Source organism: Homo sapiens, chromosome 15, assembly GCF_000001405.40.
Source record: "Homo sapiens chromosome 15, GRCh38.p14 Primary Assembly".
NCBI classification, from domain to species: domain Eukaryota; kingdom Metazoa; phylum Chordata; class Mammalia; order Primates; family Hominidae; genus Homo; species Homo sapiens.
In genome coordinates this window covers 52,264,956-52,280,914 of record NC_000015.10, presented here as the reverse complement: position 1 = coordinate 52,280,914, position 15,959 = coordinate 52,264,956, and the positions used below count along the sequence as shown (strand labels likewise).

At 46.0% G+C, this 15,959-nt stretch overlaps 1 protein-coding gene and 1 non-coding gene across 6 annotated transcripts in view; both read left to right on the top strand.

Moving 5' to 3' along the window:
• MYO5C (myosin VC) overlaps positions 1 to 15,959 on the top strand; it is a 103,483-nt gene that overhangs the window by 14,890 nt on the left and 72,634 nt on the right. For 4 of the 5 annotated variants that reach the window (XM_047432845.1, XM_017022408.3, XM_011521781.4 and 1 more), the window contains exons 3-8: positions 1,241 to 1,406; positions 1,898 to 2,042; positions 5,197 to 5,353; positions 8,192 to 8,335; positions 9,071 to 9,152; positions 11,055 to 11,162. In XM_047432845.1, coding sequence (XP_047288801.1) covers positions 1,241 to 1,406; positions 1,898 to 2,042; positions 5,197 to 5,353; positions 8,192 to 8,335; positions 9,071 to 9,152; positions 11,055 to 11,162 — 802 coding nt within the window. Of the gene's footprint in view, positions 1 to 1,240; positions 1,407 to 1,897; positions 2,043 to 5,196; positions 5,354 to 8,191; positions 8,336 to 9,070; positions 9,153 to 11,054; positions 11,163 to 15,959 lie in introns of those variants that run through there. The other variant, XM_047432846.1, reaches the window with a different exon arrangement.
• MIR1266 (microRNA 1266) lies at positions 3,715 to 3,798 on the top strand. The gene has a single exon (NR_031670.1). It is a non-coding gene; the product is annotated as a microRNA 1266 (primary transcript).

Below are 15,959 nucleotides of genomic sequence, written 5' to 3'. Positions count from 1 at the left end.
CAACCAGCCAGCAAAACCCCCGCCATGGACAAGGAAGCACTGTGCTAGTGAGAGAGCACAGGCTTCAGAGTGAGGCTCAGATTAACTGTGTGACCTTGGACAACAAACTCCAACTTTCTGAACCTGTCTCGTTGACTTTCTTGGTTGGGGTAGTCATGTCCTCCCTGGAAGGCAGTTTTGAGGATTAAATGAAACAATCCATGCTGAGTGCTTGGCATGGGGTCTGCACAGTGGCACTTGATGAAAGGCAGCTGGGCCACCTTGTGGAGCTGGTCCAGGACCAGAGATCAGAAGGAATCCAGAGATACTGACTGAATACCTGGAAGGCGGCCTAGGAAGGTGGAAGAGAAACAAGCATGCTGGGTAACCTGCTCAAGTCGCTTTAGTTGGGCTTCACTTCCCCCAGCGGTGAAATGGGAGTGTAGGAATTAGAATACTCTGACATTGGAAAGGCCCAGTCATCTGTGGCACAGATGCCACGGGGCATGCTCGCCTCACCTTCGTTCTGCTAAGGCAGCTGCTTTAGGAATACTAGGTTAAATCTAGCAGAAGAGGAGCAAGCCTGGGAAAATTCCTTGGCCCAGGGCTGAGACTGATAGGAATAGACAGCCCTGCTGGGGGAGCTGTGAGCCCTCGGGCATGTGGGCAACTGCAGACAGGAGACACCTGCACCAGGGGCCTTTCACGGAGAGACCACCACCTGCATGGACTCCTTTAGGTATCTGTCACCACCAAGTGTGTCAACTTTGAGCAGAGACTCAACAACCTTAGAGTTAAAGAGACCGTAGGTCACTGTGTCATTTTAGCTGCAGCATCTTGTTTTCAAATGAAAACTTGCATGGCCTCAACATTTAAACCACATATAGGTAGAGCCCTGGTGGGAGATTCAGGAATGGGGCACCTGGATCTCTGCCCTTGTAGCTTCCCCAACACTCCTTATTGAGGCCTCTGTAGATCTAAGGACCCCTGCTCTAGCTCCTCTTCGCAGATGAGAGAAGTGAGGCCCAGAGAGGGTGAGTGACTTGCCCCAGTGCACATAGCCAGTGCCCTAGTCCCCTGCTCCTACTTTTCATTATTCCAGGAGTCAGCTGTGAAGATTTTCTTGTTGCTATAAGTACATTTGCTTTTTAATGTCAGTGATGACTCTGATGGAGGGGTGGATAGGACAAAGGACAGTGCTTCAACAGAAACACCAAAAATCTTTTATTTCCAGAGCTTTAATTTTTATCTTTGTCCATAGGAGCTGGATTATTCTGTCAATCCAGAATCTCTGCCTCCACTTCGGAATCCTGACATCCTCGTGGGCGAGAATGACCTCACGGCTCTCAGCTATCTTCACGAGCCCGCGGTGCTCCACAACCTCAGAATCCGCTTTGCAGAATCCAAACTCATTTACACCTACAGTGGTAAGGAGAGCAATTCTAGGAAGTAAGGAATGGCACTGGAATGTAAGCTTGCTGTCTAGAGCCTCCTGGTTGTTTTATGTTTATACTGAGCACCCAGAGTTTGTTGTAAAAAGAAGTGTCTGGGTGGGGAGAATCTTCAACAAGAACTAAGACTGGACTACCTAGAAAAAGAGATGTAACAAAGCTCGTGTTTGAGTTTCTCATCAGATTTCATACATTTATTACTTATTTTGGGCAATGATATTACTTACACTGCAAATTGCAAAAACCTCTCCATTTGCGAGCATTTCCACCTGTCCTGTCAACCAACCGTCAGAACAGCCCGAGGGTGTAGGTGACTGGCAGGGAATTAATTCAGTGCGTGAAGTGACTTGCCCAAAGTCACACAGAAGGTTTAATAAGCGACAGAGCTGGGGTTTCTTAAAAAAAAAAAAACTGGAGATGCAGGTGGCAGTAAGAGTATTTTAACTGCATCTAACATCTTTCCCCAGGAATCATTTTGGTGGCCATGAATCCTTACAAGCAGTTGCCAATATACGGAGATGCCATCATCCACGCCTACAGCGGGCAGAACATGGGCGATATGGACCCACACATATTTGCCGTGGCAGAAGAGGCATACAAGCAGATGGCCAGGTAGCTTCCTGCCAAGCTGGACTTCCCCTTGCTCTGCCAATGCTCCCTGCATTTGCCAGACCATCACAGTGGAGGGGAGATATCTAGGTTGGGCTCATTAAAAGAGATAGGCCAGAGGTGGTGCTTTGTTGAGCCGACTACCTGGAATGAATAGCAAACGACTGTTCCATGTACCTGACCTGTCAAGACTGGAGTTTCCTGGGTTTTGTTCCTTCAAGGTAGTCAAGTCAGTCCTACCAGTCTGGGAATAGCAGATGCTTTTCTTGCAGTGTGTTTGGTTGGAGGAGTGTTGATTTATTCTCTGCTATGAGACGTTTAAGCTTTTTTTTTTTTTACCCATTGCAGGAAGTAGGATCTGATGACAGGGTTTTTAGCTGCAGGAGGTTTTAGGTGCAGGAGACATGGAATTTTATCCTAATTTCACTGCTAGGTGTTTGTAGGGCCCTGTGGAGTTCTCGTTTCACTAGTGCACATGTATGAAAAGCCTCCTGTGAATGAGGCACCGTGCACACATTCCCATGTGTCATCTGGGATGGCCTCAGAATAGCCCACGATGCAAATGTCTGGGCAGTAAACAGCTTCAGGGAATAACCAACCCAGGGTAGGCAGCAAGTAAAAGGCAGATCTGGGATTTGTGCTCAGATTTTTAAACTCTAGTTTATTTTTCCCATAACTATCACTTTTGGCTTCAGTGTCTTCATCTGTAAAGTATGGAGAATAGAAACACCACCCTATCTTTGTAGCTGCCTTTACAGTTTGCAAAAGAACTTTCACATACAGTGGTCTCCCTTGAGTCTTACAGCACTCCTGTGAAGTTGACTGACTTCATTGCCCTCATTTCACAGATGGGAAATCTGAGGCACAGGACCTGGACCTGCTGACTCTTTACCTAAATCTTTACTGCATAACCCCAGCCGCAGCTCCTGAGCTCCCTCCGCTTTATGTCTTCGTCTGTGAGCTGGACTCTCAGAGGGCACCCATTCCTGGTTCTGATGCTTATAATGAGGGAGCAGGTGGTGCTTACATGAGGTAGAACACGTGCTGCTTTCCTGCACAGATGTCTGATGGGCAGTCTGGGGCTAGACCGAGCTTCTTCAGAGTCATCAGAGACCCGGTGCCGTGCAGCTCCCTGTCCCTGGGGTGGGGCCGTCATCCTCAGGGACAAGCCAGTTCTCACCTCTGTCTTCCATATTCTAGGTAACAAGGCATATGAGGGGAAGGGTATGGCCCTCCAGGTTAAGGAGACTCTCTGGAAGCCCCACAAAGCACTTCTAACAGCTCGTCAGGCAGACCTCACTCACATAGGGAGGCTGGGATGTGCAGTCTTTCAAATGCACAGAGGGGCACTGCCTGGCCACTGGGGCCTAGTCCCTAAGAAGGAAGAGGAGAATGCAAATGCATACTGGGTAGAGAATTAGCAGCTTCCGCTGCACCAAGATTCCTTCTAACCCTAAAACCCCTGTGGTTCTGAGATTTTTCCCTGGCTCCCTGTAGGTCTCCCAGGTATCGTGGTGATTAGGGACTGGGTATGGGTGGGATGAGCTCTTTGGCACTGTAGGGCTGTGCTCACTTCAGCCCTAAAGAGCCAGTTTCTCCTTGGAGGTCTGTCTGTGTAACTGCCATAACAGAACGGAGCCCAAAGCAGGCTCGTGTTGGCCTTGTTTGATGCTAGACAGGTAGTGTCCCTCAGGGCTGTAGAACAGGGCTGGGATTACTAAAGCCCTGTTCTATGCCCTGAGGGACACTGAGCATGTCATTTCACTTCTCAGAGTCTTCATCTTCTCTCTTTGAAATGAAAATATTGGACCGGGGCTCTGTATCCAAAGTCTCCTCTAGCATTTACATGGGAGGCTGTGGCTCTGTGCTCTGGGTCAAGTCACTCCACCCCTGAGTCACCATTTTACTCTTCTGTAAAAGAGATATCTATGTCGTAGGATTTTTGTGAAGCTTAAATGAGAATCTGTATTCACCCAGCACCTGGCATGTGAGCGGTGCCACATCCACAGAGCCATGTTAGAAGCTTCCACCATCACAGTCTTATGACATGAAAAGTTTAATGCATTTTTAAAAAATCTCTAAATTATATAACAGAGCATGTTGGCTTAGAGAGCGCATATGTTCCCAAGCATCTTTTGAATAATTGCTCTCAAAATAATGTCCTTGAAATGTTTTTATATTTAAGTGGGATGTGCAGAAAGGAGTTGACATAAGGCCTGAGGCTGCTATCTTTAGAGGCCTGCTTGCAAGGTGGCCCATGGCTAGCCTCTGATTTCATGACGGTTCCTGACATTTCTTGGTTGAAAAAGTGGCTCATTTTACCTAAACTCAAGCTGTTTGTGTAAATAATGTGCTTTATGCTGAATACGTGCTTTCCTTCTGGGAGTCTGGAATATTGGCATATGCTAGGCAGAAGGTGGGCACTGCATCTCTAATGAGCTTCCCTGGCAGCCAGCATTTCACATGTGCTGTCAAATTCCTTGCTGGAAGAATTGAATGTGTCCTGTGTGACCCGACTGGGAGAGGACCCCTGGAAGTTTGCACCCGTGTTCCACTGGACCTTGCCCCGTGTGCCTTTTCCCCGTGCTGCTTTTGCTGTGTATCCTCTTGCTGCAATCAGTCTTAGCTGTGAGGATGACTATATGCTGAGTCCTGAGAGTCCTCTTACTGGGTCATTGAACCTGAGGTTGGTCTTGGGGCCCCTCAACATGGTACTCAATAAATACATGTTGACAGGCAGCATGATGACCTACACAGGGTCCATCTAGAAAGAGGGTGCTCAGGAGAGGGTGGGGAAGGCAGAGGAGAGATGAAATGAGAGGTGAAATTCAAGAACAGAGTTTAAAAGCAAAAATCCTGCCCAGAGAGTGGGAAGGATGGGAAGGAGCAGTTTTTTGGTTGAGTGGAAAGGTTGAGTAGGGAAGCAGTAAGGAGTAAGGATTTGAATAAGGTTGGATGAAAGATGTGAACTTTTAAAATTGTGTGTTCTGCACGATCACATAGAAAAAAAAATCTAGAAGGAAATTGATTGAGATTTAAAAATAGTAGAGTGACAAAACAGTTTCCCTCTTTTGTCTTGTCCACATTTGTCTTAATTAGCACATGTTGCCTCTTTAATGGGAAGAAACTAATATTTGAAAACTTTTATTTGCTTTAGAAACAACAGAAACCAGTCCATAATTGTAAGTGGGGAGTCAGGTGCTGGAAAGACAGTGTCGGCTCGCTATGCCATGAGGTACTTTGCCACCGTCAGCAAATCGGGCAGCAACGCTCACGTGGAAGACAAGGTCCTGGCATCCAATCCCATCACCGAGGTGCGTACCACTGCGGAAGGCAGCTGGGTGTTGGTGATGGAAATGGGGGTTGGTTGGTTTGTGTGCTCTCCTGGCTAATTCAAGTTCCCACCCTTTAAAGACTAAAGAAGTGAGGGCAGGAAAGACCCGGGAAGCCTATTTGCTGGTGGGATTTGAAGGAGATGGGGGCAGAATTGTTACTTTCAAGGCTCTCTTCTGCTCTACCTGCTGGGCTGGAAATCTACCATCAGACTCCAGGAGTCCTCTGTTTACATTTACATCCCAGGGGAAACCAAACATCACTGGTACACTGAAATCACTGGTGTTCTCCACCCAGCTGGCATCAGCATTCATGAGCTGATTGTTAAAATATTCAGGAATTTTGCAAGCTGATTGATAAACCTTTGGTAGTTTGACATCAGTCAGGGGAGAAGTATTTATACCTTCTGCCTTGGCAGAGGCCACATGTCAAGACTCTTCCTCCTGCCCTCCCCAAGAGCCAGTTCATCAGCACACTACTGACTGGGACAGAGAGTGGGCAAGGCCAACCGTGACGGTGCCCAGGGGGGTGAGGAGACAGCCCTCAAGGAAGAAGAGGCACCCAAAAGGCACAGAGGAGGGTCCTGCAAGCCAACTCCAGCTGCCCCGCAAAATGGGAAGAGGATTGATTTGAATTTATTTGGAAGCAAAGCAAAAAATTAAGAATATTAGACTACTAGACCTCTTCTCCCTGTTTTCTCAAATCAAAATCCTCAATGAATATTTATCAGACAATCTACTCTGTTGAAGTCACTGCTTAGCTAATGTGGGAAGTGATGGAAAAGAATAAGACCCAATCTCCAAGTGTAAGATTCTTCTAACCTAATGTAAGAATATTTTAAAATTAAATAGAAACATATGTCGGGGGGGGGGTACTAAGAAACACTGCAAAGCTCATAATTCAGAGGCATAGGCTTACTTAGAAACATAAATTACAATCCAAGATACCAATAGAAAAGTTATCAAGGCTGGGTGCGGTGGCTCACATCTATAATCCTGCACTTTGGGAGGCTGAGGTGGGTGGATTGCTTGAGCTCAGAAGTTCCAGACCAGCCTGGGCAACATGATGAAACCCCATCTCTACCAAAAATACAAAAAATTAGCCAGGTATAGTGGCACATGTCTGTAGTCCCAGCTACTCAAGAGGCTGAGGTAGGAAGATTGCTTGAGTCAGGAGGTGGAGGTTGCAGTGAGCCAAGATTGCACCACTGCACTCCAGCCTGGATGACAGAGCAGGACCCCATCTCAAAATAAAAGTTATCAAGAGCCAGTGCCAAGTTAAATGCCCAGTGGATAATTTTGTGTAAATATTTAGGGTTTGTCTCCTCTACTAGACTGCACACTCCATGAAGGCGGGACTGTATCTATTTGGTTTACCTTTGTTTACCGAGCGCATGGCACATAGTAGGTGCTCAGTAAAGACATGTTGGCAGGCAGCATGATGACCTGGGTCATCTAGAAACAGGGTGCTCAGGAGAGGGTGGGGAGGGGCAGAGGAGAGATGAAATTGAAGAACAGAAGTAAAAAGCAAAAATCCTGCCCAGAGAGTGTGAGGGATGGGAAGGAGCAGTTTTTTGGTTGAGTGGAAAGGTTGAGTAGGGAAGCAGTAAGGAGTAGGGATTGGAATAAAGGTTGGATGAAAGATGTGAACTTCTAGTTGAGCATCATAGGTATTTGGGGCCTGAATGAGTTGAGGCACCTCATATTCTCTCATTTAATCCTCCCTACTCTGTAAGTGTTCTGGTCAGTCTGGGCTGCTATTATAATAATAAATATAATGTACTTTAGTATAATATACTTTAGTGTCATTGACCAGGTGGCTTATAAACAACAGAAATTTATTTCTCGCAATTCTGGAGGCTGGAAGTCCAAGATCAGGGGGCTAGCAGGGGTCAGGTTCTAGAGAGGCTTCTCTTCTGGGTTGCAGACTGCTGTCTTCTCACGGTACCCTTACATGGCAGAAAGAGAGCAAGAGAGGTCTCTGGGATCCCTATTATGTAGGCATTAAAATCCCACTCCCAGGGGCTCCACCCTCGTGACATCATTACTTCCCAAAGGCCCACCTTATGATACCAATACATAGGGTTAGGATTTCAGCATGAAGATTTTGAGAGGACACAAACATTCAGTCCATAACAGTGAGTTGCTTATGATTCTCATATTACAGATAGGGAAATTAAGACCTGGAAAGATGAATTAACTTTTTTGTTTGTCTGTTTTTGAGACAGGGTCTCGCTAAGTTACCCAGGCTGGAGTGCGGTGGTGCAATCATAGCTCACTGCAGCCTCCAACTCCTGGGCTCCAGCAATCCTCCCATCTCAGCTTTCTGAGTAGCTAGGACTACAGGCACACACCACCATGCCTGTCTAATTTTTTTTTTATGTTTTGTAGAGACGGGGGTCTCACTGTGTTGCCTCATCTGGTCTCAAACTCCTGGCCTCAAGTGAATTTCTTGCCTCAGCCTCCTGAAGTGCTGGGATTACAGGCGTGAGCCGCTGCACCTAGCCAGTGAATTAACTTTTAAGACATTACACAGATAGCAAAGATAGAACCCAGGACCCTGAAACATCAGAACCTGTGCTCTTTCTGGTCCTCCCCAGTATCTGCCAGTGGGACCAAGGAGAACCTTGAGCAGCAGGCTCATGTTCTGATTTGTCATGTTCCCTGCCAGCGTGGGGTTGCTTTCTTTCCCCAGACTTCCCTCTGCCAATCAGACCTTCCCCTAGGGTACAGGATTGCCTTTTACTAAAAACCCCTCCAATAATTTTGAGGCAAAAATCTTTTAATGTTGTTATTTCAATAGAGTCTTATTTTTTTTAGGCCGTTGGAAATGCCAAGACCACCCGCAATGACAATAGTAGTCGGTTTGGGAAATACACAGAAATCAGTTTTGATGAACAAAATCAAATTATAGGAGCCAACATGAGCACTTACCTCCTGGAGAAATCCAGAGTTGTCTTTCAAGTAAGTATTAAATTTCCTTTTCCCCAACTTTTTGAGCATTATTTACATTTACATACTTATTATACATACTCAGGCAAGCTACACTATGCTGTGAGTTGAAGAGTAGGGTTTTCTTGTCTTTCATTTGCAGTTTGGATTCTTTTTTCTGTTTATTAAAAATTGATGGATGAATAGGTGTAATATCAGGTGAGTTGTATGTCTGCAGGAAAAGGTTAATGACTTTTTAATTTGGGGGATTTACAAAATCCTTATAGTTTAAAAAGCAAGTATCTCTTTCTAGAGTACGAAAACTGTTTGAAATAGGCTAAGCTGACAGACTGGCTTTCCTATCAGGAAGGGAATGGGATCAGAGCTATTGAGGGGGTTTTAAAAGAAAGGCTTTTCTGCCAGTAAATGGAGAAATTTCTCATCGTTTTGGCCCAGGAGGAGAGCAACAGAAAGCCTTGTATTGCAGGAAGTTTGTAAAAATTTCACTAGGATGAGTTACGCCATTCCCATTTCATAGGACGTTTTCATTTAATAACACTTTCTCTGGGTTGCTCATTACTTGGAAGGCCATCTCAGGCCACCCAGTTCTCAGCTGAGAGGAAGGGCCTGCTTGTGAACTGGCCAGATCACATCCCAGACAGAGAATTATCCATGCGGATTAGATATCTAGGACCCTCTAGTTAAAAACCTGGCATTTTTGCTTGTAAGGATTTGGTGTAATTTTGAGGACATTTCTTTATCTTACAGTCGGAAAATGAACGAAATTACCACATTTTCTATCAGCTTTGTGCATCTGCACAGCAGTCGGAATTTAAACATCTTAAATTGGGTATGTGATGGATCGTGTATGAAAGGGTCTCTCTTTTATGGAGGGCTTAAATTCTAGGTTAACTTTCTTCTTATAGTAATATATTTGTTTTAAGTATTTGCCCAAAGATACAAGATTCTTTGGTTTCAGGGACAGAATTGGTGCATCTAATTAAGGGGATGGATTAGGGCCGGGGGGATGAGTTTAGAGAGAGGGGGCACTTGTAAGACTGAGGGTTATTTTTAAAGCTCATTGGGCCTGGCGTGATGGCTCACACCTGTAATCCCAGCACTTTGGGAGGCTGAGGAGGGTGGATCACCTGAGGTCAGGAGTTAGAGACCAGCCTGGCCAACATGGCAAAACCCTGTCTCTACTAAAAATACAAAAATTAACCGGGTGTGGTGGCACGCACCTGTAGTCCCAGCTACTTGGGAGGCTGAGGCAGAAGAATTGCTTGAACCCGGGAGATGGAGGTTGCAGTGAGCCGAGATCACGCCACTGCACTCCAGCCTGGGCAACAGAGCAAGACTCCGTCTCAAAAAAAAAAAAAATAGCTCATTGGGTATTTATGGTCCTCCAGCTAGAACCACCTGAATAAGACCTCCTGACAGCTGGAACATATGATGTCACCAAACTTTCCATTTTATTTGAACATGACATGTTAACCCACTTATTAAAACAAACCACCTGTATCATAATTTGACCTTCCTTGATGGCTCAAGGTCATTCATTACTTGTAGTCATAATTAATTATATTCCAGAGATGGCTAAAACATAGGGCTGTTTGTCCTTCAGTACAAAAGGCCCCGAGCCCCGTGCTGTCACAGCTCTCCTGCCTTAGCCATTTGTGCTATGCTGGTAGATGAGAATTGTTGGAGATAACTTCTAGTATGTTGGAGTTGAACTCACACTCTCTAATTTTGGAGAAGTTGCTTGTACTCTTAGAATCTAAGTTTCTCCAGATTTCACATGAAGGTAATATCCTTGGCCTTGTCTACCAAACAGAATGTGAATAGTGAACCTGCAGAAGGGCTTTCTGAAAGATCCTCTACTATTTAAACATTAGATGTATGTGTATATATATACACATACATGTGTATACATACATACATATATATACATATATAAATGTGTGTATATATATATATACACATACATTTATATATACATATATAAATGTGTGTGTATATATACATATATATGTAGAGAGAGAGAGAGTCATTATCCGGATTGTGCTAATGGTTTTATAAGAGTATATGTATGTCAAAAATTCATCAAATCGTACGTGTTAAACATATGCAGTTTATTGTACATTCAGTAAAGCTCAGTAAAGCTATATAAAAATGTTAGGTGCAGGAACAAAAACCATGAGCTTTAGAGTTAGGCCTGCATTTAAATTCTTGTGTGCCATCAGCTATTGGAACTTGAGAAAGTCACTTCACTTTCCTGAGTCTCAGCTTCTGTGTCTGTTATGTAGGATTTTTTTTGTTGTTGTTTTGTTTTTGTTTTTTTGAGACAGGGTCACTGAGGCTGGGGTGCAGTAGCGCCAGCACGGCTCACTGCAGCCTCGAACTCCTGGGCTCAAGTGATCCTCCCACGTCAGCCTCCTGAATAGCTGGGACCATAGGCATGTGCCACCATGTCCAGCTAATTTTTTATAGAGATTTGGTTTTGCCCTTTTGCCCAGGCTAGTCTTGAACTCCTGGGTTCAAGCAAGCCCCCTGCCTCAGGCTCCCAAAGTGCTGGGATTACAGGCATGAGCCTCCACACCTGGCTGTAATGCAGAGTTCTAAGGAATAAATGGAATAAACTGTGTAAAGTGCATGACACAGTTCTTTGAGTATGAACTTCCCTTCTTCTGATAAATGTGTATGTCCAAATTTCTGTGTTACAGACATAACAAATCTTACTTTTTGATTTCAGGGAGTGCCGAAGAATTTAATTATACAAGAATGGGAGGCAATACTGTCATTGAGGGTGTGAATGATCGAGCTGAAATGGTAGAGACTCAAAAGACCTTCACGCTTCTGGGTAAGGGAAAATATCCCATCCAAGTATGTAGCCATTTTCTCTTAAAAAAAAAAAAAAATTAAGGCCAGGCGTGGTGGCTCACACCTGTAATCCCAACACTTTGGGAGGCTGAGGTGGGCGGATCACAAGGTCAGGAGATTGAGACCATTCTGGCCAACATGGTGAAACCTGTCTCCACTAAAAATACGAAAAATTAGCCAGGCGTGGTGGCGGGTGCCTGTAGTCCCAGCTACTCAGGAGGCTGAGGCAGAGGAATCCCTTGAACTCAGGAGGCAGAGGGTTGCATCGAGCCGAGATCACACCACTGCACTCCAGCCTGGCAACAGATCAAGACTCTCTCTTAAAAAAAAAAAAAAAAAAAAAAAATTAAAAGGTGGGGATTCCCAGCAAATGTGTATTCTGAAGGCTCCTAATCAATTCTAATTTTAGGACAAAACATCAGAACATATTTGGAGACTAAGTGGTCAAGACTATGCTTTTCCCTTAAAAGAGCTAGAAATTAATTTGTTTTTTTCCTCAGCCTTCCTGGCTCGGCTGTGAGAGGCATGGGCTGCAAGCCCTGTGACTGCCGTAAGCTCTTCTAGGCTGAGTACAAGAATGACTGGTAAAGCCAAGGTCCAATTCGGTTCAGAAGTGGAACGTTGGCCCTCTGTGGCCTTCATAGGTCTCCTGATGATGACAGTAAAATAGTGAGCACTCATCTGGAGCTTGCAATGTGCTGGGCACCATCCTAAGCACTTTATAACTCTGTGTGAACTCATTCAATCCCTACAACCACCCTAGGAAGTCAGTGCTGCTGTTTCTCCCATTTTACAAGAGGGAAACTAAGGCACAGAGATGGGAAGTGATTTACCCAACATTAGGCAACTGATTCAGAGTGGAACTGGCTTTTGCACTCCAGGGTCTTCAAGCATCTCATTTGGTACAGAAAACCCCATCTTCTATTGCTCAGATGCCGGCACAGGTGGAGCAGGCACGACTGTCACAGCACAGCCAGTTGTTCCCAATCCTTCTCGCCTTACTTTTCCCACACAGAGCTCATGTTCAGAAAGGCTGTCTACCAGATGGTGTTTATAAAAACAGGCATTCACTCTCTCATTCTGTATGAGTCTAGACATCCACATGAAGCTGCCAGTCAAAGCTTCTGATCAGGGTGAGGCCATCGGCCATTTCTTTCTTTTTTTTTTTCTTTTCTTTTTTTTGAGACAGAATCTTACACTGTCGCCAGGCTGGCCTGGAGTGCAGTGGCGCAACCTCTGCCTCCCCGATTCAAGCGGTTCCCCTGCCTCAGCTTCCCAAGTAGCTGGGATTACAAGCACACGCCACCACACCTGGCTAATTTTTTGTATTTTAGTAGATACAGGGTTTCACCGTGTTGGCCAAGATGGTCTCAATCTCCTGACCTCGTGATCTGCCCGCCTTGGCTTCCCAAAATGCTGGGATTACAGGCATGAGCCACCGCGCCCGGCCAGCCATTTCTACGTCTTGCTGAAATCTCTCTTGCTGAAATGTCCCGCCGATTCATACTAAGTGCTTTCATTCTTGTGGCCTGGTTGACTGTATCTGAATGTAAAAAACTAAGAGTTTCAGGTTAAACATATCCAAGGAATAGGCAAGACGATCACAGCTGGATAATGGAGAATGAAAACAAGATGGTTTTCTAAGCAAAATCACCATCAGACTGTTCCCTCAAACCTGCTTCGAGGAGAAAGGCAGTTTAAACATTTTATAATAATAAGATAAACACTTTCGGCACTGACTTACATTTGCTGAAAATAATTATGGTCGTCATTTCAATCTTTGTATAATGTACTCCATGGAGAGGGGGCTTGGTGCGTGAGGAGGGGACAGGTGGCCAAGCTCTGGCTGGGCTGAAGGATATGCCCTGCCCTGCCCACCCTCATCTCCCTGATCCTTCTACTCTCTCCCACCTCTATTATGTCCTCCTCCTCACAGCAAGATAATGTAGGGCAAATAGAGTAGGCTTTGGGATCAAATGAATGTGAATTCAAATCCTAATTGGTATGAATCTAAGGTTACCCACTCTGAGACTTGGTGTCTTTTTTTGAGATGGAGTCTCGCTCTGTCGCCCAGGCTGGGGTACAATGGTGCAGTCTCGGCTCACTGCAACCTCTGCCTCCGGGACTCAAGCAATTCTCCTGCCTCAGCCTCCCGAGCAGCTGGGATTACAGGCACATGCCACCGCCCCCAGCTAATTTTTGTATTTTTAGTAGAGATGGGGTTTCACCATGTTGCCCAGGCCAATCTTGAACTCCTCACCTCAGGTGATCCGCCCGCCTCTGTCTCCCAAAGTGCTGGGATTACAGGCATAAGCCACCATGTCCAGCCAAGACTTAGTGTCTTGATCTGTGAGTGGCAACGCACCTTATCTTTCATGACAACTCGTGAGGAAGCATATGTAAAAGTCCCCAGCACCAGGCCAAGCACATAGCAGGTGCATAGTAACTGCTACTCCCTGCCTGCTAGCTCTCTACATTCCCAATTGTCCAAAGCCTCACCATACTTTGAGTAAAACCATCTCTTCTTCCATGAAACCTTTTCTAATTGTTGGAGATCAGCAATTTGCAGCCATTTGCCCCCATGTTTCACACAACTTAGGTTATGTTTACAGATTTCCACATCACGTTCCTCAGTCCCAGGGCCAAGACTGGGACGAGACGAGAGAGGCACTCACTCTCAGGGCCCTGCATGTGCCGGGTTGGCCCTGGACACTTAGCCTGTGCACAGACTTAGAAGTTTTAGACAAAGCCCTCTGGAGTTTTGTGGAGAGGTAGAGTACCGTGTCCTCTCAAGGCATTAATGGTGATGGCTGCCTGCTGTGCTGTGTGAAGTGGGCAGGTGGTAAGAGATTGGGGCCACTGCACCTCTTCCCTGCAACTCTCCCTTCAAGAGAGGGTACCTCAGCTCAAACTTTTCCTTCACCTTGCACGAGGTCATCAGGGACTTCTCTGTTTAGACATGCTAGGGCGAAGCTAGATGGCCTCATGAACGCTGTGGGTCTTTTCTCATATTGCGGTGGGCACTGGTGTTAAACTGCTTAGATATACCTTACCCAGTGTGACCTCGGGTGAGTTCCCTAACCTTCCTATGCCTTAGTTTCCTCCTCTGTGAGATGGGAACAATACTAGGATTCCTTCGGGTGGTTGTAGTGAGCATGAGAGGAGCTGATGCGTGGAAAATACCAAGGACGGTGCCTGAGGCAGTGTTCCCTTCGCCTTCCCCTCCATTTCTGCTGCTGAGATCCCTCAGTTAGCAGTGAGATTACCCCTGGAGAAGCGCGAGGGGAGGCATTTTGATTAAAAAGTCCCTTTCTTCTGCTCTTCTGCTGTGTCTTTCTCATGTGATTCATCCACTGACCCCTGCCATTTGAGTGTTGCTATGATCCTTGCCCTCTGATGGGACGAACACCTTGGAATCAGGCTGTCCCTGGGACCTCAGGCTCTAGGAACTTGACCAGTGAGCTCCCCCTGGAAATCTGATTCAGGCTGGCATTGCTTTTGTGTGACAGGCTCACTAAGGATGATTACTTAACGCAGGTCTTGAGTTCTTTCTTTTGTATTAATGTTTTGGAGTTGTTATCTCCCTTTTGTGTTTCTGGAAGGCCTGGAGTAGTTTAAGGGGTTTAGTTATGGATCACAGAAAGCAGGGAGGAGTGCCAGAATGGAGGCTCCTGCACTTGGCATTTTTAGTTGCTGCTCATGATCACTTACCTGTCATTACTGTGGTGGAGGCCTGGGGTATATTTCTGTTGGACACATCTGTCCTTCGGATGGAGGAGTTACCTCCAAATGGAAAGGCAGCAAGTGCCTGGACTCAGCTGGAGCTGGAGTCTTCCCTGTGTTCTTGGATTGAAATCTTTTGAGACTGATTTTATTTAATCTTTGTAGTAGAGGAGACTCTGGGCCAGGTGCAGTGGCTCATTCCTATAATCGCAGCACTTTGGGAGGCCAAGGAGGGTGGACCACTTGAGCCCAGGCATTCAAGACCAGCCTGGGCAACATGGCAAAACCCCATCTCTACAAAAAATTAGCTGGGCGTGGTGGCGCACATTTATAGTCCCAGCTACTCAGGAGGCGGAGGTGGGAGGATTACTTGAGCCTAGGAGGTCGAGGCTGCAGTGAGCCATGATCACACCACTGCTCTCCAGCCTGGACAACAGAGTGAGACCTTGTCTCAAAAAAAAAAAAACAAAAAACTGTAGGTTTTGAAATTGTTAAAGAACATGACCTACCTGCTAATGGAAACTCCAGGTATCCTCAAGTGAGGGGTCATTGGCTTCCATTCCAGTGTCCATTCCAGGGTGGACCAGGCAGCCTGCCTGGTGTGAATGAGCCTGCCTGCCAGCCCGAGCGCATCTCTCAGCTGCTTAAGTCACCACAGTGTCATTAACACACACTGGGGGGATCCCGACCTGGCAAAACCGGGCTCACAGCGTGTGGGTCTACACTGTGATTTACAGGGTTTGAACACAGTCCTTTCTAGCAGCTGGTTTTCTTTCTTTTTGGCTCCAGGAAATGTGCTAATCCCCTCACGGTGACTGAATATGGTATGTAGTCATAATTTATATTCTACTTACTGCAATCAAAGTCCCAATGGGGAACATGGGGCAGGCTCACAACAGAATACAAGAGGGAGGGGTTATTTATTATTTACAACTGCAGAGGTGTGAGTGGAGTCTAGGGGAGCTATTAATACAAGGGGCAGTGGGCACCTGGGGGGCAGCAGCAGAACTGTTCACTGCTCTTTCCCATGTGGGCATCCAAGTGTTTCTGGAGC